At 38.8% G+C, this 25,374-nt stretch overlaps 1 long non-coding RNA gene and 1 pseudogene across 6 annotated transcripts in view; one reads left to right on the top strand and one right to left on the bottom strand.

Annotated features, from left to right (window-relative positions):
- The window catches only part of LINC02794 (long intergenic non-protein coding RNA 2794), a 131,616-nt gene that overhangs the window by 98,929 nt on the left and 7,313 nt on the right, over positions 1-25,374 (top strand). For 4 of the 5 annotated variants that reach the window (XR_007066068.1, XR_007066073.1, XR_007066072.1 and 1 more), the window contains one exon: positions 10,646-10,727. This is a non-coding gene — a long non-coding RNA (long intergenic non-protein coding RNA 2794). Of the gene's footprint in view, positions 1-10,645; positions 10,728-11,870; positions 13,103-25,374 lie in introns of those variants that run through there. The other variant, XR_007066069.1, reaches the window with a different exon arrangement.
- The window catches only part of SKINT1L (Skint1 like (pseudogene)), an 80,714-nt pseudogene that overhangs the window by 46,985 nt on the left and 8,355 nt on the right, over positions 1-25,374 (bottom strand). Inside the window, exons 4-7 of the transcript NR_026749.2 lie at positions 17,774-18,121; positions 15,932-16,213; positions 13,100-13,210; positions 10,850-10,957 (exon numbers count right to left, since the gene is read on the bottom strand). The product of NR_026749.2 is annotated as a Skint1 like (pseudogene) (transcript). The remainder of the gene's footprint in view (positions 1-10,849; positions 10,958-13,099; positions 13,211-15,931; positions 16,214-17,773; positions 18,122-25,374) is intronic.

Raw genomic sequence — 25,374 nt, forward strand, 5'->3', positions numbered from 1 at the left:
GGGGTCTACTTGAGGGTGGAGGGTGAGAGGAGGAAGAAGAGCAGGAAAGATAATGGCTGGGTACTGGGCTTGATATCCAGGTGATGATATATGTACAATAAACCCCAGTGACACGTGTTTACCCATGTAACAAGCCTTCACATGTACTCCCAAACCTAACATAAAATTTAACCTGGGAGAAAGAAAAGAGAATTGTCTAGCCATGACTTTTTCCACTTTTTAGTGAAATAATAGTAATAATAGTTATTATTATTGGAGAATTGCTTGAGTTCATTGTATATCCTGGAGATTAATCTCTTGTTGGATTAATGCTTTGCAAGTATTTTCTCCCATTCAACATGTTGTTTCTTTCTTCTGTTGATTGTTTTGTGGCATGGGAGATTTTTAGTTTAATATAGTCCCATTTGCCTATTTTTATTTTAATTGTCTGTGCTTTTGAGATCATAGTCATAAAATATTTGCCTAGACTAATGTTGTGAAGTGTTTCCCCTATGTTTTCTTGTAGAATATATTTAAGATCTTACATTTACGTCTTTGATTTCATCTTCAGTTGATTTGTGTACATGTTAAGAGATAACAGTCCAGTTTCATTCCTCTGCATATTGATATTTGGTTTTTAAGAGAGTGTCCTTTTGCCAGTGTATGTTCTTGGTGCTTTTGTCAAAAATCAGTTGGCTGTATGTAAGTAGACTTATTTCTGAGTTTTCTGTTCTGTTCCATTGGTCAATGTGTATATTTTTATCCCAGTACCATGCTGTTTTGGTTATTATATCCTTGTAATATATTTTGAAGTCAGGCAGTATGATACCTCCAGTTTTGTTTGTTTTGCTCACAATTGCTTTAGTTATGCTGGCTCTTTTTTGGTTCCATGAAAATTTTAGAATTATTTCTTCCATTCTTGTGAAAAATGTTAATGGTATTTTGATAGGAATTGCACCAAATTCATACATTGCTTTGGGCAGTATGGTCATTTTAACAAGATTAATTCTTCTAGTCCATGAGCATGAGATTTCTTTCCATTTATTTGTCTTTCATCAGTAGTGCTCAACGTCACTAATCAAGGAAATGCACATCAAAACCACAATGAGAGATCATCTTACCCAAGTTAAAATGACTACTATTAAAAAGTAAAATAAATAAATAAATAAATAACAGATGCTTATAAGGATGTGGAGAAAAGAGAACTCATACACTATTGGTGGGAATATAAATTAGTATGACCATGTGGAAAACAGTATGGAGATTTTTCAAAAAACTAAAAATAAATTCATCAACCTCGCTATGTGGTATCTATACAAAAGCATAGAAATCAGCATATCAAAAGAATAACTATACATGTATATTTATTGTAGCACTATTCACAATAGCAAAGATATACAATCAACCTAAGTGTCCATCAGTGGGTGAATGGATAAAGAAAATGTTGGGGGGAGGAGCCAAGATGGCCGAATAGGAACAGCTCCGGTCTACAGCTCCCAGCGTGAGCGACGCAGAAGACGGGTGATTTCTGCATTTCCATCTGAGGTACCGGGTTCATCTCACTAGGGAGTGCCAGACAGTGGGTGCAGGCCAGTGGGTGTGCGCACCGTGCGCGAGGGGAAGCAGGGCGAGGCATTGCCTCACCTGGGAAGTGCAAGGGGTCAGGGAGTTCCCTTTCCTAGTCAAAGAAAGGGGTGAGGGACGCACCTGGAAAATCGGGTCACTCCCACCCGAATACTGCGCTTTTCAGACCGGCTTAAAAAACGGCGCACCACGAGACTATATCCCACACCTGGCTCAGAGGGTCCTACGCCCACGGAATCTCGCTGATTGCTAGCACAGCAGTCTGAGATCAAACTGCAAGGCGGCAGCGAGGCTGGGGGAGGGGCGCCCGCCATTGCCCAGGCTTGCTTAGGTAAACAAAGCAGCCGGGAAGCTCGAACTGGGTGGAGCCCACCACAGCTCAAGGAGGCCTGCCTGCCTCTGTAGGCTCCACCTCTGGGGGCAGGGCACAGACAAACAAAAAGACAGCAGTAACCTCTGCAGACTTAAATGTCCCTGTCTGACAGCTTTGAAGAGAGCAGTGGTTCTCCCAGCACGCAGCTGGAGATCTGAGAACGGGCAGACTACCTCCTCAAGTGGGTCCCTGACCCCTGACCCCCGAGCAGCCTAACTGGGAGACACCCCCCAGCAGGGGCACACTGACACCTCACACGGCAGGGTATTCCAACAGACCTGCAGCTGAGGGTCCTGTCTGTTAGAAGGAAAACTAACAAACAGAAAGGACATCCACACCGAAAACCCATCTGTACATCACCATCATCAAAGACCAAAAGTAGATAAAACCACAAAGATGGGGAAAAAACAGAACAGAAAAACTGGAAACTCTAAAACGCAGAGTGCCTCTCCTCCTCCAAAGGAACACAGTTCCTCACCAGCAACGGAACAAAGCTGGATGGAGAATGACTTTGACGAGCTGACAGAAGAAGGTTTCAGACGATCAAATTACTCTGAGCTATGGGAGGACATTCAAACCAAAGGCAAAGAAGTTGAAAACTTTGAAAAAAATTTAGAAGAATGTATAACTACAATAACCAATAGAGAGAAGTGCTTAAAGGAGCTGATGGAGCTGAAAACCAAGGCTCGAGAACTACGTGAAGAATGCAGAAGCCTCAGGAGCCGATGCGATCAACTGGAAGAAAGGGTATCAGCAATGGAAGATGAAATGAATGAAATGAAGTGAGAAGGGAAGTTTAGAGAAAAAAGAATAAAAAGAAATGAGCAAAGCCTCCAAGAAATATGGGACTATGTGAAAAGACCAAATCTACGTCTGATTGGTGTACCTGAAAGTGATGCGGAGAATGGAACCAAGTTGGAAAACACTCTGCAGGATATTATCCAGGAGAACTTCCCCAATCTAGCAAGGCAGGCCAACGTTCAAATTCAGGAAATACAGAGAATGCCACAAAGACACTCCTCGAGAAGAGCAACTCCAAGACACATAATTTTCAGGTTCACCAAAGTTGCAATGAAGGAAAAAATGTTAAGGGCAGCCAGAGAGAAAGGTCGGGTTACCCTCAAAGGGAAGCCCATCAGACTAACAGTGGATCTCTTGGCAGAAACCCTACAAGCCAGAAGAGAGTGGGGGCCAATATTCAACATTCTTAAAGAAAAGAATTTTCAACCCAGAATTTCATATCCAGCCAAACTAAGCTTCATAAGTGAAGGAGAAATAAAATCCTTTACAGACAAGCAAATGCTAAGAGATTTTGTCACCACCAGGCCTGCCCTAAAAGAGCTCCTGAAGGAAGTGCTAAACATGGAAAGGAACAACCGGTACCAGCCGCTGCAAAATCATGCCAAAATGTAAAGACCATCGAGACTAGGAAGAAACTGCATCAACTAACGAGCAAAATCACCAGCTAACATCATAATGACAGGATCAAATTCACACATAACAATATTAACTTTAAATGTAAATGGACTAAATTCTCCAATTAAAAGACACAGACTGGCAAGTTGGATAAAGAGTCAAGACCCATCAGTGTGCTGTATTCAGGAAACTCATCTCACGTGCAGAGACACACATAGGCTCAAAATAAAAGGATGGAGGAAGATCTACCAAGCAAATGGAAAACAAAAAAAAGCAGGGGTTGCAATCCTAGTCTCTGATAAAACAGACTTTAAACCAACAACGATCAAAAGAGACAAAGAAGCCCATTACATAATGGTAAAGGGATCAATTCAACAAGAGGAGCTAACTATCCTAAATATATATGCACCCAATACAGGAGCACCCAGATTCATAAAGCAAGTCCTGAGTGACCTACAAAGAGACTTAGACTCCCACACATTAATAATGGGAGACTTTAACACCCCACTGTCAACATTAGACAGATCAACGAGACAGAAAGTCAACAAAGATACCCAGGAATTGAACTCAGCTCTGCACCAAGCGGACCTAATAGACATCTACAGAACTCTCCGCCCCAAATCAACAGAATATACATTTTTTTCAGCACCACACCACACCTATTCCAAAATTGACCACATACTTGGAAGTAAAGCTCTCCTCAGCAAATGTAAAAGAACAGAAATTATAACAAACTATCTCTCAGACCACAGTGCAATCAAACTAGAACTCAGGATTAAGAATCTCACTCAAAGCTGCTCAACTACATGGAAACTGAACAACCTGCTCCTGAATGACTACTGGGTACATAACGAAATGAAGGCAGAAATAAAGATGTTCTTTGAAACCAACGAGAACAAAGACACAACATACCAGAATCTCTGGGACACATTCAAAGCAGTGTGTAGCGGGAAATTTATAGCACTAAATGCCCACAAGAGAAAGCAGGAAAGATCCAAAATTGACACCCTAACATCACAATTAAAAGAACTAGAAAAGCAAGAGCAAACACATTCAAAAGCTAGCAGAAGGCAAGAAATAACTAAAATCAGAGCAGAACTGAAGGAAATAGAGACACAAAAAACCCTTCAAAAAATCAATGAATCCAGGAGCTGGTTTTTTGAAAGGATCAACAAAATTGATAGACCACTAGCAAGACTAATAAAGAAAAAAAGAGAGAAGAATCAAATAGACACAATAAAAAATGATAAAGGGGATATCACCACCGATCCCACAGAAATACAAACTACCATCAGAGAATACTACAAACACCTCTACGCAAATAAACTAGAAAATCTAGAAGAAATGGATACATTCCTCGACACATACACTCTCCCAAGACTAAACCAGGAAGAAGTTGAATCTCTGAATAGACCAATAACAGGAGCTGAAATTGTGGCAATAATCAATAGTTTACCAACCAAAAAGAGTCCAGGACCAGATGGATTCACAGCCGAATTCTACCAGAGGTACAAGGAGGAACTGGTACCATTCCTTCTGAAACTATTCCAATCAATAGAAAAAGAGGGAATCCTCCCTAACTCATTTTATGAGGCCAGCATCATTCTGATACCAAAGCCGGGCAGAGACACAACCAAATAAGAGAATTTTAGACCAATATCCTTGATGAACATTGATGCAAAAATCCTCAATAAAATACTGGCAAACCGAATCCAGCAGCACATCAAAAAGCTTATCCACCATGATCAAGTGGCCTTCATCCCTGGGATGCAAGGCTGGTTCAATATACGCAAATCAATAAATGTAATCCAGCATATAAACAGAGCCAAAGACAAAAGCCACATGATTATCTCAATAGATGCAGAAAAAGCCTTTGACAAAATTCAACAACCCTTCATGCTAAAAACTCTCAATAAATTAGGTATTGATGGGATGTATTTCAAAATAATAAGAGCTATCTATGACAAACCCACAGCCAATATCATACTGAATGGGCAAAAACTGGAAGCATTCCCTTTGAAAACTGGCACAAGACAGGGATGCCCTCTCTCACCGCTCCTATTCAACATAGTGTTGGAAGTTCTGGCCAGGGGAATCAGGCAGGAGAAGGAAATAAAGGGTATTCAATTAGGAAAAGAGGAAGTCAAATTGTCCCTGTTTGCAGACGACATGATTGTTTATCTAGAAAACCCCATCGTCTCAGCCCAAAATCTCCTTAAGCTGATAAGCAACTTCGGCAAAGTCTCAGGATACAAAATCAATGTACAAAAATCACAAGCATTCTTATACACCAACAACAGACAAACAGAGAGCCAAATCATGAGTGAACTCCCATTCACAATTGCTTCAAAGAGAATAAAATACCTAGGAATCCAACTTACAAGGGATGTGAAGGACCTCTTCAAGGAGAACTACAAACCACTGCTCAAGGAAATAAAAGAGGATACAAACAAATGGAAGAACATTCCATGCTCATGGGTAGGAAGAATCAATATCGTGAAAATGGCCATACTGCCCAAGGTAATTTACAGATTCAATGCCATCCCCATCAAGCTACCAATGACTTTCTTCACAGAATTGGAAAAAACTACTTTAAAGTTCATATGGAACCAAAAAAGAGCCCGCATCGCCAAGTCAATCCTAAGCCAAAAGAACAAAGCTGGAGGCATCACACTACCTGACTTCAAACTATACTACAAGGCTACAGTAACCAAAACAGCATGGTACTGGTACCAAAACAGAGATATAGATCAATGGAACAGAACAGAGCCCTCAGAAATAACGCCGCATACCTACAACTATCTGATCTTTGACAAACCTGAGAAAAACAAGCAATGGGGAAAGGATTCCCTATTTAATAAATGGTGCTGGGAAAACTGGCTAGCCATATGTAGAAAGCTGAAACTGGATCCCTTCCTTACACCTTATACAAAAATCAATTCAAGATGGATTAAAGATTTAAACGTTAGACCTAAAACCATAAAAACCCTAGAAGAAAACCTAGGCATTACCATTCAGGACATAGGCGTGGGCAAGGACTTCATGTCCAAAACACCAAAAGCAATGGCAACAAAAGCCAAAATTGACCAATGGGATCTAATTAAACTAAAGAGCTTCTGCACAGCAAAAGAAACTACCATCAGAGTGAACAGGCAACCTACAACATGGGAGAAAATTTTCACAACCTACTCATCTGACAAAGGGCTAATATCCAGAATCTACAATGAACTCAAACAAATTTACAAGAAAAAAACAAACAACCCCATCAAATAGTGGGCGAAGGACATGAACAGACACTTCTCAAAAGAAGACGTTTATGCAGCCAAAAAATACATGAAAAAATGCTCATCATCACTGGCCATCAGAGAAATGCAAATCAAAACCACTATGAGATATCATCTCACACCAGTTAGAATGGCAATCATTAAAAAGTCAGGAAACAACAGGTGCTGGAGAGGATGTGGAGAAATAGGAACACTTTTACACTGTTGGTGGGACTGTAAACTAGTTCAACCATTGTGGAAGTCAGTGTGGCGATTCCTCAGGGATCTAGAACTAGAAATACCATTTGACCCAGCCATCCCATTACTGGGTATATACCCAAATGACTATAAATCATGCTGCTATAAAGACACATGCACACGTATGTTTATTGCAGCATTATTCACAATAGCAAAGACTTGGAACCAACCCAAATGTCCAACAATGATAGACTGGATTAAGAAAATGTGGCACATATACACCATGGAATACTATGCAGCCATAAAAAATGATGAGTTCATGTCCTTTGTAGGGACATGGATGAAATTGGAAACCATCATTCTCAGTAAACTATCGCAAGAACAAAAAACCAAACACTGCATATTCTCACTCATAGGTGGGAATTGAACAATGAGATCACATGGACACAGGAAGGGGAATATCACACTCTGGGGACTGTGGTGGGGTGGGGGGAGGGGGGAGGTGTAGCATTGGGAGATATACCTAATGCTAGATGACGAGTTAGTGGGTGCAGCACACCAGCATGGCACATGTATACATATGTAACTAACCTGCACAATGTGCACATGTACCCTAAAACTTAAAGTATAATAAAAAAAAAAAAAGAAAAAAGAAAATGTGGTACATATACACAATGGAATAGCATTTGGCAATTAAAAAGAAGAAAATCATGTTATTTGCAGAAAGTTGTATGGAACTGGAGGTTATTATGTTAAGTGAAATAACTCAGGCACAGAAAGACAAATATTGCATGTTTTCACTTATATGTGGGAGCTAAAAAAGTTTGCTTATAAACGTAGAGAGAAGAATGATAGATACTAGAGGCTGGGATGAGGGGATTCAAGGGGGAATTAAGAGAGGTAGCTTAATGGGCACGCACGTGCTCGTAAATAAAAATATAAGTTCTATTGCTCAACTACAGAGTAGGGTCAATAACAATGTATTATATGTTTTAAAGTAGCTAGAAGAGATAAATTGTTCTCAACAGATACAAATGATAAATACTCAAAGTGATGGACCTGTCACAAACCCTGACTTGATTATTACACACAAAATACCACATGTACCCCATAAAAACGTAATATATTGGATTCAATTTTTAAAAAGTAAAAGAAGAACAAAGCCAGAAGACTCACACTTTCTAATTCCAGACCTACTACAAAGCTACAGTAATCAAAACAGTGTGATACTGACATAGAAAAAGAAACATAGACCATTGGAATATAATAGAGCCCAGAAATAAACCTTTACAAAATGGTTAAAGAATCTTTGACATGGGTGTTAAGAGCGTTCACTGGGAAAAGGAGAGTCATTTCAATAAATGATTCTGGAAAAACTGGATATCCACATGAAGAATGAAGTTGGACCCTTATATAATACCATATTCAAAAATTAACAGAAAGTAGATCAAAAGCATACAGTAAGACAATTCTTAAAAGAAAACATAGGATAAAAGCTTCTTGACTTGGATTTAGTGATGATTTCTTTAACATGAAACCAAAAGCACAACAATGAAAGAAATAATAAACATTCAGATATTGGACTGCTTGAAAAATTCTTTAAATTGTGCCTCAAAAAGTCATCATTCACCAAGTAAAAATGCAACCACACAATAGGAGAAATTATTTGAAAATCTTACATCTGATAAGGAATTAATATCCAGAATATGTTGAGAAATCTGAAAAGTCAACAACAAAAGACCCACAACCCTTTTCAAAAATGAGCACATGAATTGAATAGACATTTCTCCAAAGAATATATGTAAGCAGCCAATAGGTACATGAAAAGATGCCCAATATGCCAATCATTAGGCAAATGCAAATAAAAACTATAATGAGAAACCACATGCATTGGGATAATATATAATTAATATATTACACATACATAATATATATTTATGTGTATTATATAAATACACATTTTATATATAGTTTATATATATATATACACACATATGCTATGCAAATGGAAGTATTTGGATAGTGTATGTGTGTATATATATATTTCATAAATATCTCTATACAATATTATATATATACATACACACATACATACATACCTGCAAGCATTGGCAAATGTATAAAGAAATGAAAACCCCTGTGCACTTTTAGTAGGAATGTGAAAGGGTCCAGCCACTGGGGAAAACCATATGGTGGTTCCTCAAAAAATTCAGAATAGAATTACCATATGAGCCATCAGTTCCACTCTGGGTATATACCCAAAAGGAATTAAAAGCAAAATCTTGAGGAGATATTTGTACACTTTTATTTATAGTAGCATTATACATAATAGCTGAGATATGGAAGCAACACAAATCCCAATCGACGGATGAATGGAGAAGCAAAATGTGCTATATTTGTAAAATGGAACATTAGTCTAAAAAGGAATGGAATTCTGCAATGCGCTATAGTATGGATGAGCATTGAGGACGTTATGCTGAGTGAAATAAGCCTGTTATAAAAAGGCAAATATTTCTATAATTCCACTTATATGAGTAACTTAGAGTACTGAAAATCATAGAGACCAAAAGTAGAATGTGGGTTGCCAGGGCTTGGAGAGAGGGGCAAATAGGGAATTATTGTTTGATGTGTACAGTTTCGGTTTTGGAAGATGAAAAGATCAGGTGAATGGTGGTGATGGGTGCACAACAATGTGAATGTACTCTGTGTGTCCAAAATGTCCACTTAAAAATGGCTACAACAGTACATTTTATGTTACATAGATTTTACCACAAAAATAAAATTTTCTGCTTTTGAGAATACTTTATGGGAGAATGTATCCCACAGAGTGGAAGAAAATATCTGTAAAACATATATTGACAAGAACTTGAATTTAGAATGCATTATGTCTCAATTTCATGATGCATTTATAATATTTTTTTCTATTTTCTCTTAAAACCATATACTAAGATTGTTGAAACACACAGTGAAGGCATGTAAGTGCCTGAGTTGGGATCCTGGCTCTGCCATTATTTAGCTATGTCATCTTAGATAAGATATTTAGCTTCCTTTTGTACCAGAATTTGTCAACTATAACATCTCTTTCACTAAAGATTGAATATATTAATCTGTATACAACTCTTAGAGCATATAATAAGCATGTAATGTATATTAACTAATATCAAATCACTTTGCTCCTTTTCTTCTGGTAAAGGGGAATGTGCAATTTAGTCTGCTAACACAGTAAATATTCACTGGCTCAGGTATGGACATTTTTGGAGTAAAATATAAAAAGCACTTTAACCCTAATTTGGTTTAAGGCCACTTGTGTCTTCATTTCACAGGAGAAAACTATTGAACAAAACCCTCTGAAGAGTCCAGGCCTACTTTATAACTTCTAATTGTGATTTCTGGCTGTAGCTCCAGCTTATGAAGAAGAAGAAGAATTATTTTATCTGGCTGATTATTGCCTTGCATATGTCATTTCCATAGGGACCTCAAAGATAAAGCTGAGCGCACATGTCAAACATGTTGGGTTCAGCTATCCCAATATTTTCACAACTACCATTCCCATTTTACCAAAAAGGAAAAGAATCAGTTTCAGGTGTCCATGCAGACCGTGAAATTTAGCAAAATGTGTGTGAACATGTGAATAATTTTGAGAGGAGTGTCCTGTGATTTACACTGATATCTGAAAAAATACCTATGACCTAAAAAGTTTAAGATATACTGAATTATTACCCCTTCTAGGCTAAAAGTATAGTAAAAATTAACATAATTTATTTGATGATGTGACGGCCAATGTTTGGCAAAAATAAAGCTATCAACTAAAAGAAATATTTTCTTTTCCTAGGAACAGAAATATCAGCAGTTTGTGGCATTAAGCCCACAAATTTCAGGAAGTTGGATTCCAAACTCTAGGACATGAGGTCCAAGTAGGTATTATTCCTGTAGTTCAAACAAGCATTACTGCTCTTTGGCTAAACGTCTTACCAGAGAATGGGCGTTTAGGAAATGAGATATTTTCAGGACATTCCCATCCTTTTAATCCACATACCTCTGTTTCTGCGATGCAAACCGATAATGAGTCCAACAATTGCACACATTGAAAAGAAGGCTATCCCAATGACTATCAGGCAGGGAGAATTCTAGTCACACCAGTTACCTGAAGAAGAAGAGATATTGTAATTGTTAGTTATTGGTGTAGAGGCACTTTTGATTGGGGCACAATGTGTCAAGAAATCAAGAGGTATGTTTTGATGCCATCCCACTGCATTCATTTAGATTTGGGCTAAGGCTTAGGTCTAAAGATCAGAGAGCTGTGGGTGACAGAGACAAGAAGAACGGCTGTTTCTAGGATGGGATAGGTTTGGGTTGAGGCTAAACAGGTCTGGAGAAAAACAACTCATCCTTCTTTCTCTCTATCTAGCCCATCAGTAAATGGGCCTCATTAGAGCACTAGATGAAGTTATGCTCCGATTGTTATCATTTCACCTGGGCTTGAAAGAGTCTGGGAGTACAGTAGTTCTGGAGACCTCTGAACTGCCTGAAAGATCATATGAGCTTTGGATATACGACTCTCATGAGTGAAAGGGTTTTCAACAACATAATATTAAAAATATTCTTTAGCATGCATCATAGCAACATCATTTGGCTATCTAGTCTGTCCATAAAATAGCCTATGGTGTGGGGCTTACTACCACAAGTGATGCCATTCCACCACTGGAGTAGCATAGGCACAGTGTAACTTAGTGGTTAAAATATGGGATACAGTGTCCATATGGCTTATAATCGATCTTATTTCCTATCATTACTAGCTGTGTGATTTTAGGTGCAATAGTTAACGTTGGTGGGTTTATTTTCATAATATAGAAATTGGAGTGGTAATAATATTTAACTCAAAGTGTATTATGGAGGTTAAATGCACTAATTTCTGTAAATCTGTTGGTGTGGAGTTTTTCAATAGTAAAAATACAATAAATGTTAGCCTCTAATGATGATGTAATAATTACTATTATAAAACTAACTCTGCATCCTTAAAAATTATTTATTCCAACTGATTCACCAATACCTTTTAGATAAAGTTGAAGAGATTTTCAGAAACTCAAATTATGCCCATGAGAAACAGTTGAATAACTGGGCACACTCAGCTTGGCAAAGGTCAAGTTTGAAATGTTCCTGACTGCTAATCTCTGAAGAGCTATCTGGGAAATGTCAGTTGTTACACATGTGACCTTTGAATGTTCAATTAAATGTAAGATACAGAGAAGCAGGTCAGTATTAAATAAGGACAAGCATTAAAAGATGTATTGAAGCAGGAACATTAGAAAAAAACAAATCTCTAAAAACTTGGATAGTGTGAATAAGCCGATAGAAGCTACAGTACAGTTTGTTTTGCAAAACAGCAGCTAGCAGAGGTGAATGTTGTGAACTGGTGGCTTTCTGGCGGAGTGGTGTCTTCCCCAAACCCCACAACCACAGTGGTGGAAAATGGCAGTTCTGAGGGTCACATACAGAGTTCAGGCCAGAAGAACAGCTGCAAATGTAAACGGAAAATCCAAGAAGTGGAGAGATATTTAGGAAGACCAAGACCCAAATCCTTCGCTGACAGCAGAACTACACGTGGTGGGAGGTGGCGCAGGAGCCTGGTGAAAAGCAGGGGGAGAGCACAGGACACTACTCTTGAAACACAGAGCTCTGCCAGAAGAGATCTGTGAGTCTGAAGCTTCTTAAATTGAGCACAACCCCAAATCATGAACAGCTATTTTTTGGTGTCTTAAATTTTCTTGCTTATTGTGCAAGTTCCCCCAATCCCCGCCCCCAACACCATAGTTGAGAATGAATGAAAACTTTTTGTTTAAGGAAAAGTAAAACACCTGGTGTTGCAGCTAGTGTAACTCTCCCTACGTGGTGTATTTTAATGATACTGTGCAATTAAAACTTAATTTTATGCCCTGAAGTGTCAGTGGTCCCTTTAAGAATTCAAGTGAGAAATATGTGTAAATTCTGTTAGGTGTTAAATGTTAAAAAGCTTTCCCAGGTTGTTTGAAAATCTGTCACCATAAGGACAATGGGTTTCAACTTGGTTGAGATACAAAAAGGTCACACTTTCAGATAACAGCATTGTCAACAGCTCCAGCAGCAAAAGAGAACAGTATGTAGGATCAAGGAATGGGTGGAGAGCATATGTTTAACATACATGGAAAAGTTCAGAACTTCCTGAGACAGACAGACTTGAGAATTATGGGTCATGCAGCTTTAGCTTCCCCACTCCCATTAGCATCTCTCATCCTTCAAGCCAACTTACGTTGCTCTCTTTGCTGTAGTTCAACACTTGGCAACATAATGAAGAATAGCAGAACAGCCAAGATTGCAACCAGAATCAGTATCCAGATAGAATTCCATGGAAACAGTTTATCTGAAATAGGGAGTCACAAATTTTACCACTTAGGAAACTTGAACCCACCAAACTAGGAATGATGATTCATCCAAAGCATGTTTCTGCTTAATACCTGTCACCTTCAAATGTAAACCAAGGCCAATTTGGGAAATTAATTATAATTGTGCACGTGAAAAATGGGATAGGATCTGGAGTAGGGAAGAGCTGAATGTGAGTTAGTTTGAAGATGGAGCAAAGGTGAGTGAAGGCTGCGCTCCCATGTTTTCTGTTTGTTTGTTTGTGACAGAATCTTGCTATATCTTAAGGCTGGATTGCAGTGTCGTAATCACTGCTCACTGCATCCTCAACCTCCCTGGTTCAAATGATCCTCTCACATCAGCTTCCTGAGTATCTGAGACCACAGGCACATGCCATCATGCCCAACTAATTTTTTATTTTTTAATTTTTCATAGAGACAAGGTCTTGCTATGTTGCCTAGGCTGGTTTCAAACTCCTGAGCTCAAGGCATCCTGGCCGCTAGGCCTTTCAAAGTGCTGTGATTACAGGCATGAGCCATTATACCTGGCCTCTTCCATGTTTTTTGACATTCAGTGAATACAGATAAGATCTCCCTGAGATGTCTCTATTCCCAGGACTGTAACTCATGCTCAAAGTTTGTGCTAATTATAATTCTGTTAAATCATCATTTTTTAAAGTGCATATACTTTTAAAAAGCATTTTTCACTAAAGTTGTAAATAAATCAGCAGGGCTTCCCCCAGCCCTGCCTTTTTGTTTGTTTTATTCATATATATCCTACTATGAACTTGGGGGAAGGAAGGTATGTAGTTTAGTCCTCCTTTATCCCCTGTAACTGTTTGTATTGCTGTTTCTGACACAACCATAATATGAAGCTTTTTTTTCTGGAAAATCAAATGAGAAAATAAGCGCAAAAATGTTTGAATGTAGTAAATTGCTAAAATTGTTAGGGGAGTCATTCCTGTAAGTGATAATGTCCCTTTCAGCATGTGACTCTAATATTAATTTCATGGAATACACAAACACTAACACATTCATATTTCCTTGACAGTTTGTAAGACACTTACTAGGGTGTATTTCTGTCATTCAAGTATCAATGATTTATTGCATTCCTGCTATGTGCCGCGCAATGTTTGAAGCAGTTGGAGTGTATTAGTGTATAAAACTGACAAAGATTTGTATCTTCATGTTTCAGACAGGGAAACAGATAAGTGAAAATAAACATAATAAATAGGTTGTATGGTGGGCTAAATGGTGAAAATAACATGGAAGAAAGAAAAATTAAGGTAAGTGAGGAGAGTGGGAATCAAGTAATTTGGGGGCAGGTGGCATTTTTTTCAAGCTGGTTTGTCAAGGTACTCTTTATTAGGGAGGTTGAGTTGAGAAGAGACTGGAAGGACATAGGGGAAGTTAGAGCATTCTAGGAAGAGGGACCAACTAGAGCTAAGCCTCCAAGGTAGGAGCATGTCTTGCAGGTTTAGGAACAGCAAGGAAGTCTGTGTGACTAGAGTAGAGTGCACAAAGGAGGGTGTTAGGATATGAGGTCAGATAGGTAATGGGGGCAGAGATAATGCAGGATATTGAAGGGCATTTTACTCTGAAAAACAATGGGGAAAAATTGCAGGGTCTTGAACAGAGGGTTCCTATTTATATGTTGAGAATGTACTATAGTGGACAAGAATAAAAATAAGAGGATATTTAGGATGCTATTGCCAAAGTTGAGACCCATGGGTGATAGTGTCTCAGGCTTGGATAGCAGTAGTAAGTTGGTGACAAGTGATGAGATGCTGAATATATTTTAAAGGTAGAGCTAACACAATTTCTTGATAGATGTGTTGCAGAATATGAGAGAAAAATTGGTGTCAATGATGAATTCAATTATTTTGTTTTGAGAAACTGAAAATATAAAGTGTGATTGGAAAGACATTAATTAAGCAAATTTGGAGGTAATCAGGAGTTTACTTTATGATGTGTTTGGTTCAGGATATTTATTAGACTTCTATGTTGAGAGGTTGAGTTTGAAGATGAAAACCGAGTTTGAAGAGAGGACAGGGCAGGAGATACTATTGGAGGAGCCATAGTCACACTGATGATATCCGAAGTCTTGAGACAGAATGAACTCACAACAGAGGAAAGGCTCAAAAAACTACATCCTGGGAAACAGAAAACCAAATACTGCATGTTCTCACATATGAGTGGGAGCTAAATTATGAGAACACATGGACACATAGAGGGGAACAACACACACTGGGGCCTTTTGGAGGGTGGAGGGTGGGAAGAGGGAAAGAATCAGGAAAAATAACTAATGGGTACTAGGTTTAATACTTGGGAGACAAAATAATCTGTACAACAAACCCCCATGGCATAAGTTTACCTATATAACAAACAAACAAACAAACAAACCTGCACATGTGTTTAAAATAAATAAACTTAAAATAAAAGTTAACATAAAAGTTAAAATAAAAGTTAAAAATAAAAGCTAAAAAACAAAGCAAAACAAAAACTATGTCCTGGGAACCTGAATAGCAAGAAGGCAGAGTGAAAAAAAAAAGACTATAACAAAAAGATTAAGAAAGAAAACAAGCAAGAAGACAATGAATAAAACCAAGAGAAAGTAATGTCTTGGAAACCAAGTGAAGAAAGTATGTATATGATTTTTTCTCTTTAATTTACAAATTTTATGTCAATGGCCATCATTTGAAGAACAAACACTCAGATCGCACCTGGTAAGACAATGCTTGTCCTTTCCTCTTGACCGGTTACAGGGTTTTGAAGGTAGCAAGTGATGTTGCCATGGGAGCTGTCTCTAAGGAGAAGGCTCATCTTCATGGTGAACAATCTGTTTCTATCCTGGGAATGGGATTTTGATGCAGGCGGAATGATCTCTCCTCTGCTCTCTCTCCATTCCATTTGAGGCTGTGGTAACCAACCTTCTGAATTACACTCCACTAAAAGACCTTTGCTATTCGGAGGATGAATAAGAATTTGTATTTCTAAACTTGTAGCTGGTTGGAATACAAAAAGGGAGAAACTGTTTTTAGAGGAAGACAAGGAAACACAGAAGAGATGGAAAAGCCTTCCTGCCCTCTTTAATCCCTGTGTCCTTAGATATTGATAGCTAAGCTATGAGGCTGATTGTCATGACAAGCCATTCAAAAAGGAACAGGGATAAGCCATACTGAAGTGTTATGATAATCATATTAACAACATAGTCCAAAGTAAGTGAGGCGAGGAAATGCCTGTTTTTTACATTTATTCATTCACTCAAAATATGGGCTATTTACTAAATTTAAGTAACTTGGTTAGGTCCTTGGATTATGATAAACAAAAAAATCAAGATCTCAGTCCTCATAGAATTTACGGCTTAATGTTTTTTTCTTTAATCTTCACCATTAGCCACTTCTGAGCCACCATAACAAATTACAAATTTGTATTTTGCATACAATAGGTATTTTTACATGCAATATGTTTTACAAAAAAAAGGAAATACATTACTGTTTTCAAAATATGGTGCATATCACTTTAGAGAAAATAAGTCTTTGAAAAATTTCAGGATATTACCTAGGACATAAGTCTTGCCTAATATGTGGGCAAAGAAATAATGAACAGAGATTTAAAGTGTGACTCTAAAGCAGCCCTGTCTAATAAAATTTTCTGCAATTATGGAAATATTCTATATGTGTGCCCTCTAATGCAGTAGCTGCTTGCCACATGAGACAACTAAGCACCTGAAATGTGGCCATTGAGACTGAAAAACTGAATGCTTAATTTTATTTAATTTTCATATGAATTTAAATGGCCACATGTGGCTAATATATATCATATTGGATAGCTCAGCTGTAGACTATGGAGTTGGGTGTCATATAATATCCAGTAAATATGTTAAGCATGAGTGCCCTGGATCCCTCCACATGTGTCCTCATATTTGTGAAGACCTTAGTTTGCTTCAAGTCCTCCATCTCCCCTCCATTTCTCTGCCGTTCAGACTACTTCAAGGGTGAGTATTCACCTTTCATTCAGAATACTTCAAGGGTGATTGGCTTAAATGCTACGTATTTGCAAATAGCACCCATATAGTATATAGACTGTAGAATTTTGAAGATAGTAGGTGAAGGCTTTCTGAAATACATTTAGAAAGGTGAATCTGTAACTAAGTAGTCAGTAATTTGATTCAGGGAGAAATGAGAATAAAAATTATCATTAAAGAGTCTATTGTAAAGATTCAGGTACTTTTAAAAGTCAAGTTTTACTAAAGTGTTGCCAGAAATAATTAGAAGGATTGTAACAAATTCTAAAAGGATTCTGTTAATTTTTTAGCAATCTAGCAATATATGTAGACGTAAAAAAGCAGACAGTATTTACTGATAGTTTTGATGTCTGAACAGATATAATTCTCATTCTTGATCCTCCACTCTTTCCAAATCAAACTCTAAACTCATAAATTTGACCTTGTTAACCAGACCATATAATATAAAAATAGAAATAGTGAGAATTTTCCTAATACTCAGCCTCATACAGGTTGAGAATCTTGGATGCATAGAAAACTCACAGGGATCCATCCTTACCTGTGACCTTCACTTCTGTGATGGACTCTTCATAGACATTTCTGTCTTTGAAGAAGCAGTGGTACTGCCCGTCATCATCAGCACTGACATTAAGGATCCTGAGGGTCACTTTACCTTCTCCAATGGCTTCTTTCAGGAGCTCTGTCCGCTCCACATACTTGGAGATAGTTTCTCCATACAGGTCTTTACCATCCTTATACAGGTAAACAGGTCGTGTGTAGTGACTCTGGAACCAGCGTATTTCCATGTGTTCTGCGCTTTGTGGTGGAGACAGCTGGCAACTGAGCTCAACTTTTCCACCCAGTGGAGCCAAGATTGGCCTCTATAAGCTATTCACTATGAATTGTTCTGTGAAGGGAGACAGCAACGAAAGGATGAGAAGTGGACCAAGACAAAATTTTTATTTGAATTATTATATCACAAACACCCATAGACACACACACACACACACACACACACACACACACACACACACACTTTATTGAGAGTACATTCTTTTGTTTTCTCTTTTCCTTGAAAACACCTTTACTTTGCACTTTGCTTGAATGGAAATTCATCAAATTACTTTAAGAAATATGGGGAGGCCGAGGTGGGTGGATCACCTGAAGTCAGGGGTTCGAGACTGGCCTGACCAATATGCTCTGTCTCTACTAAAAATACAAAAAAAAATTAGCTGGGCATGGTGGTGTGCACCTGTAATCCCAGCTACTTGGGAGGCTGAGACAGGAGAATCACTAGAACCCAGGAGGCGGAGGTTGCAGTGAGCTGAGATCACGCCACTGCACTCCAGCCTGGAAGACAGAGCGAGACTCCATCTGAAAACAAAAAAAAAGAAAGAAAGAAATATAAAAAATGGTTTCCATTGTTGCTGTATGGTTTTCATTTCTGTTAAAATAAAGAAAAAGTACTACTACCAGTATAACAATTGCCCCTCTTCATTCTTTTTTTTCACCCTAGTTAAAACAACATTATTATTATTATTATACTTTAAGTTCTAGGATACATGTGTAGAATGTGCAGGTTTGTTACATAGGTATACACGTGCCATGGTGGTTTGCTGCACCCATCAACCCATCATCTACATTAGGTATTTCTCCTAATGGTATCCCTCCCCTGTCCCCCCACCACCCGACAGGCCCTGGTGTGTGATGTTCCCCTCCCTGTGCCCACGTGCCCTCATTGTTCAACTCTCGCTTATGAATGAGAACATGCAGTGTTTGGTTTCTGTTCCTGTGTTAGTTTGCTGAGAATGGTGGTTTCCAGCTTCATCCATGTCCCTGCAAAGGACATGAACACATCTTTTTTATGACTGCATAGTATTCCATGGTGTTTATGAGCCACATTTTCTTTAACCAGTCTATCATTGATGAGCATTTGACTTGGTTCAAAGTCTTTGCTAATGTGAACAGTGCTGCAATAAACACACGTGTGCATGTGTCTTTGTAGTAGAATGATTTATAATCCTTTTGGTATATACCCAGTAAACGCATTCCTATTTCTCCACAACCTCACCAGCATCTGTTGTTTTCTGATTTTTTAATGATCACCATTCTAGCTGGCATAAGATGGTATCTCATTGTGGTTTTGATTTGCATTTCTCTAATGACCAGTGATAATGAGCTTTTTTTCATATGTGTGTTGGCCACATAAATGTCTTCTTTTGAGAAACATCTGTTCATATCTTTTCCCCACTTTTTGATGGGGTTGTTTGTTCTTTTCTTGTAAATTTGTTTAAGTTCCTTGTAGATTCTGGATATTAGCCCTTTGTCAGATGCACATATTGCAAAAATGTTCTCCCATTCTGTAGGTTGCCTGTTCACTTGGATGATAGTTTCTTTTGCTGTGCAGAAGCTCTTTAGTTTAATTAGATCCCATTTGTCAATTTTGGCTTTTGTTGCCATTGCTTTTGGTGTTTTAGTCATGAAGTCTTTGCCCGTGCCTATGTCCTGAATGGTATTGCCTAGGTTTTCTTCTGGGGTTTTCATGGTTTTAGGTCTTACATTTAAGTTTTTAATCCATCTTGAGTTAATTTTTGTGTAAGGTATAAGGAAGGGGTCCAGTTTCAGTGTTCTGTATATGGCTAGCCAGTTTTCCCAACACCATTTATTAAATAGGGGATCCTTTCCCTATTGCATGTTTTTGTCAGGTTTGCCAAAGATCAGATGGTTGTAGATGTGTGGAGTTATTTCTGAGGCCTGTGTTCTGTTCCATTGGTCAATATATCTGTTTGGTTATCAGTACCATGCTGTTTGGGTTACTGTAGCCTTGTAGTGTAGTTTGAAGTCAGGTTGAATGATGCCTCCAGGTTTGTTCTTTTTGCTTAGGATTGCCTTGGCTACATAGGCTCTTTTTTGGTTCCATATGAAATTTAAAGTAGTTTTTTCTAATTCTGTGAAGAAAGTCAGTGGTAGCTTGATGGGGATAGCATTGAATCTATAAATTACTTTAAGCAGTATGGCCATTTTCATGATGTTGATTCTTCCTATCCATGAGCATGGAATGTTTTTCCATTTGTTTTTGTCCTCTCTGAATTCCTTGAGCAGTGGTTTGTAGTTCTCCTTGAAGAGGCCCTTCACATCCCTTGTAAGTTGTATTTCTAGGTATTTGATTCTCTTTGTAGCAATTGTCAATGGGAGTTCACTCATTATTTGGCTCTCTGTTTGTCTATTATTGGTGTATGGGAATGCTTGTAATTTTTGCACACTGATTTTGCATCCTGAGACATTGCTGAATTTGCTTATCAGCTTAAGGAGTTTTTGGGCCGAGACCATGGGGTTTTCTAAATATACAATCGTGTCATTGGCAAACAGAGACAATTTGACTTCTTCTCTTCCTATGTGAACATGCTTTATTTCTTTCTGTTGCCTGATTGCCCTGGCCAGAACTTTCAATACTATGTTGAATAGGAGTGGTGAGAGAGGGCATCCTTGTCTCGCACCGATTTTCTATGGGAATGCTTCCAGCTTTTGCCCATTCAGTATGATGTTGGCTGTGGGTTTGTCATAAATAGCTCTTATTATTTTGAGATACATTCCATCAATACCTAGTTTATTGAGAGTTTTTAGCATGAAGGAATGTTGAATTTTATTGAGGCCTTTTCTGCATCTATTGAGATAATCATGTGGTTTTTGTCATTGGTTCTGTTTATGTGATGGATTAGGTTTATTGATTTGTATATGTTGAACCAGCCTTGCTTCTCAGGGATGGAGCCAACTTGATCATGGTGGATAAGCTTTTTGATGTGCTGCTGGATTCATTTTGCCAGTATTTTATTGAGAATTTTCACATTGATGTTCATCAGGGATATTGGCCTGAAATTTTCTTTTTTGTTGTTGTTGTGTCTTTGCCAGGTTTTGGAATCAGGATGACGCTGCCCTCATAAAATTAGTCAGGGAAGACTCCCTCTTTTTCTATTGTTTGAAATAATTTCAGAAGGAATGCTACCAGCTCCTCTTTTTACTTCTGGTAGAATTTGGCTGTGAATCCATCTGGTCCTGGGCTTTTGTTGGTTGGTAGGCTATGAATTACTGCCTCAATTTCTGAACTTGTTATTGGTCTATTCAGGGATTCGACTTCTTCCTGGTTTAGTCTAAGGAGGGTGTATGTGTCCAGAAATTTATCCATTTCTTCTAGATTTTCTGGTTTATTTGCATAGAGGTGTTTATAGTATTCTGACGGTAGTTTGTATTTCTGTGGGATCAGTGGTGATAGCCACTTTATCATTTTTTGTTGTGTCTATTTGATTCTTCTCTTTTTTCTTCATTAGTCTGGCTAGGCATTTATCTCTTTTGTTAATTTTTTTCAAAAAACTAGCTTCTGGATTCATTGATTTTTGGAAGGGCTTTTTGTGTCTTCTTCACTTCTGCCCTGATCTTAGTTATTTATTTTCTTCTGCTTGCTTTTGAATTTGTTTTCTCTTGCTTCTCTAGTTCTTTTAATTGTGGTGTTAGGGTATCTTTCCCACTTTCTCCTGTGGGCATTTAGTGCTATAAATTTCCCTCTAAACACTGCTTTAGCTGTGCCCCAGAGATTCTGGTACATTATGTCTTTGTACTCATCGGTTTCAAAGAACTTACTTATTTCTGCCTTAATTTTGTTATTTGTCCAGTAGTCATTCAGGAGCAGATTGTTCAGTTTCCATGTAGTTGTGCAGTTTTCAGTGAGTTTCTTTATCCTGAGTTCTAATTTGATTGCACTGTTGTCTGACAGATTGTTTGTTATCATTTCCATTCTTTTGCTTTTGCTGAGGAGTGCTTTACCTCCAATTATGTGGTCGATTTTAGAATAAATGTGATGTGGTGCTGAGAAGAATGTATATTCTGTTAATTTGGGATGGAGAGTTCTGTAGATGTCTATTAGGTCCATTTTGTCCAGAGCTGAGTTCAAGACCTGAATATCTTGTTAATTTTATGTCTCGTTGATATGTCTAATATTGACAGTGGGGTGTTAAAGTCTCCCATTATCATTAAGTCAAAGTCTACATCTCTTTGTAGTTCTCTAAGAACTTGCTTTATGAATCTGGGTGCTCCTGTTTTGGGTGCATATATATTTAGGATATTTGGCTTTTCTTGTTGCATTGATCCCTTTACCATTATGTAATGCCCTTCTTTGTCTTTTTTGATCTTTGTTGGTTTAAAGTCTGTTTTATCAGAGACTAAGATTGCACCCCTGCTTTTTTTGCTTTCCATTTGCTTGGTAAATATTCCTCCATCCCTTTATTTTGAGTCTATGTATGTCTTTGCACATGAGATGGGTCTCCTGAATACAGCACAATGAGGGTCTTGACTCTTTATCCAATTTGCCAGTCTGTGTCTTTTAACTGGGGCATTTAGCCCATTTACATTTAAGGTTAATATTGTTATGTGTGAATTTGATCCTGTCATTATGATGCTAACTGGTTACTTTGCCCATTAGTTGATGCAGTTTCTTCATAGTGTTGATGGTCTTTACAATTTGGTATGTTTTTGCAGTGGCTGGTACCAGTTTTTCCTTTCCATATTTAGTGCTTCCTTCAGGAGTTCTTGTAAGGCAGGCCTGGTGGTGACAAAATCTCTCAGCATTTGCTTGTCTGTAAAGGATTTTATTTCTCATTCACTTACGAAGCTTAGTTTGGCTGGATATGAAACTGGATATGAAATTCTGGGTTGAAGATTCTTTTCTTTAAGAATGTTGAATATTGGCCCACACTCTCTTCTAGCTTGTAGGGTTTCTGCACGGACATCCACTATTGGTCTGATGGGCTTCCCTTTGTGGGTAACCCGACCTTTCTCTCTGGCTGCACTTAACATTTTTTCCTTCATTTCAACCTTGGTGAATCTGACAATTACGTGTCTTGGGTTGTTCTTCTCGAGGAGTATCTTTGTGGTGTTCTCTGTATTTCCTGAATTTGAATGTTGGCCTGTCTTGCTAGGTTGGGATAATATCCTGAAGAGTGTTTTCCAACTTGGTTCCATTTTCCCCTTCACTTTCAGGTACACCAATCAAACATAGGTTTGTTCTTTTCACATAGTCCCATATTTCTTGGCAGCTTTGTTCATTCCTTTTCATTCTTTTGTCTCTAATCTTGTCTTCATGCTTTATTTCATTAAGTTGATCTTCAGTCTCTGATATAATTTCTTCCTCTTGATCGATTCGGCTATTAATACTTGTGTATGCTTCACAAAATTCTCGTGCTGTGTTTTTCAGCTCCATTAGGTCATTTCTGTTCTTCTCTAAACTGGCTATTCTATTTAGCAATTCCTTTAACTTTTTTTAAAGGTTGTGAGCTTCCTTGCATTGGGTTGGAACATGCTCCATTAGCTCGGAGGAGTTTGTTATTAAGAGGTTTTCTGGTTTTCGGAATTTTCAGCCTTTTTGCCCTGTTTTTTCCTTATCTTCATGGATTTATCTACCTTTGGTTTTGATATTGCTGACCTTCAGTTGGGGTTTTGGTGAGGAAGTCCTTTTTGTTGATGCTGATGCTATTCCTTTCTGTTTATTAGTTTTCCTTCTAACACTCAGGCCCCTCTGCTGCAGGTCTGCTGGAGTTTGCTGTCGGTCCACTCCAGACCCTGTTTGCCTGGATATCACCAGCAGAAGCTACAGAACAGCCAAGATTGCTGCCCTTTCCTTCCTCTGGAAGCTTTGTCTCACATGGGCACCCACCAGATGCCAGCCAGAGCTCTCCCATATGAGGTGTCTGTCAACCCCTTCTGGGAGGTGTCTCCCCATCAGGAGGCACAGGGGTCAGGTACCCACTTGAGGAGGCAATCTGTCCCTTAGCAGAGCTCAAGTGCTGTGCTTGGAGATCCACTTCTCTCCTCAGAGCCAGCAGTCAGGAATGTTTAAGTCTGCTGAAGCTGTGCCCACAGCCAACCTTCCCCCAGGTGCTCTGTTCCAGGGAGATGAGAGTTTTATCTATAAGCCCCTGACAGGGGCTGCTGCCTTTCTTTCAGAGATGTCCTGCCCAGAGAAGAAGAATCTAGAGAAGCAGTCTGGCTACAGCGGCTTTGTGGAGCTGCAGTGGGCTCTGCCCAGTTTGAAATTTCAGGCCGCTTTCTTTATACTGTGAGGGGAAAACCGTCTACTCAAGCCTCAGTAATGGTGGATGCCCTTCTCTGCACCAAGCTCGAGCATCCCAGGATGACTTCCGACTGCTGTGCTGGCAGCGAGAATTTCAAGCCAGTGGATCTTAGCTTGCTGGGCTCCATGGAGATGGGATCCACTGAGCTAGACCACTTGGCTCCCTGGCATCAGCCCCATTTCCAGGCAAGTGAATGGTTCTCTCTCCCTGGCATTCCAGGTGCCACTGGGTTATGAACAAAAACTCCTGCAGCTAGCTTGGTGTCTGCCCAAACAGCCGCCCAGTTTTGTGCTTGAAACCCAGGGCCCTGGTGGCGTAGGCACCTGAGGGAATCTCCTGGTCTATGGGTTGTGAAGACCATGGTAAAAAGGTAGTATCTCGGCTGGAAAGCACCGCTTCTCATGGCACAGTCCCTCATGGCTTCCCTTGGCTAGGGGAGGGAGTTCCCCAACCCCTTGCACTTCCCGGGTGAGGTGATGCCCCACCCTGCTTCAGCTTGCCCTCTGTGCACCCTCTGTCTAACCAGTCTCAATGACATGAGCTGGGTACCTCAGTTAGAAATGCAGAAATCACCTACCTTCTGCAATGATTTTGATGGGAGGTGCAGACGAGCTGTTCCTATTCAGTCATCTTGCCAGCCACACATGCCCATCTTCATTCCATTATTTCATTTACTCTAAACATACTTTCAGGCAGTTCTTAAAATTTACTCCATTTTAACTATAATGAATCCATGTATGAATGCATTTGTCTTTTTCTGGCTCTTTCATAGTGCTTCTTGAATTGGATGATTCTTGTCTTTTTTAAATTCTGGAAAATTCTCACACATTCTATGTTTAGTTTGACCTCCTTATTCTTCACAGTCTGTTATTATGGAAGTACTATGCTTAACACGTTGCGTCTCTCTGTTTTCTTCGATGTTACCAACAAGATGTCTTAAACTATCACCACCTGCCCCTACAAATGTACACAGGTTAGGATGTTTCATTTATCGTTTTCTGCTTGTGATACAACTTGGCTGTAACAGAAGTTCTTTCAG

The sequence above is a fragment of the Homo sapiens genome, chromosome 1, assembly GCF_000001405.40.
Source record: "Homo sapiens chromosome 1, GRCh38.p14 Primary Assembly".
NCBI classification, from domain to species: domain Eukaryota; kingdom Metazoa; phylum Chordata; class Mammalia; order Primates; family Hominidae; genus Homo; species Homo sapiens.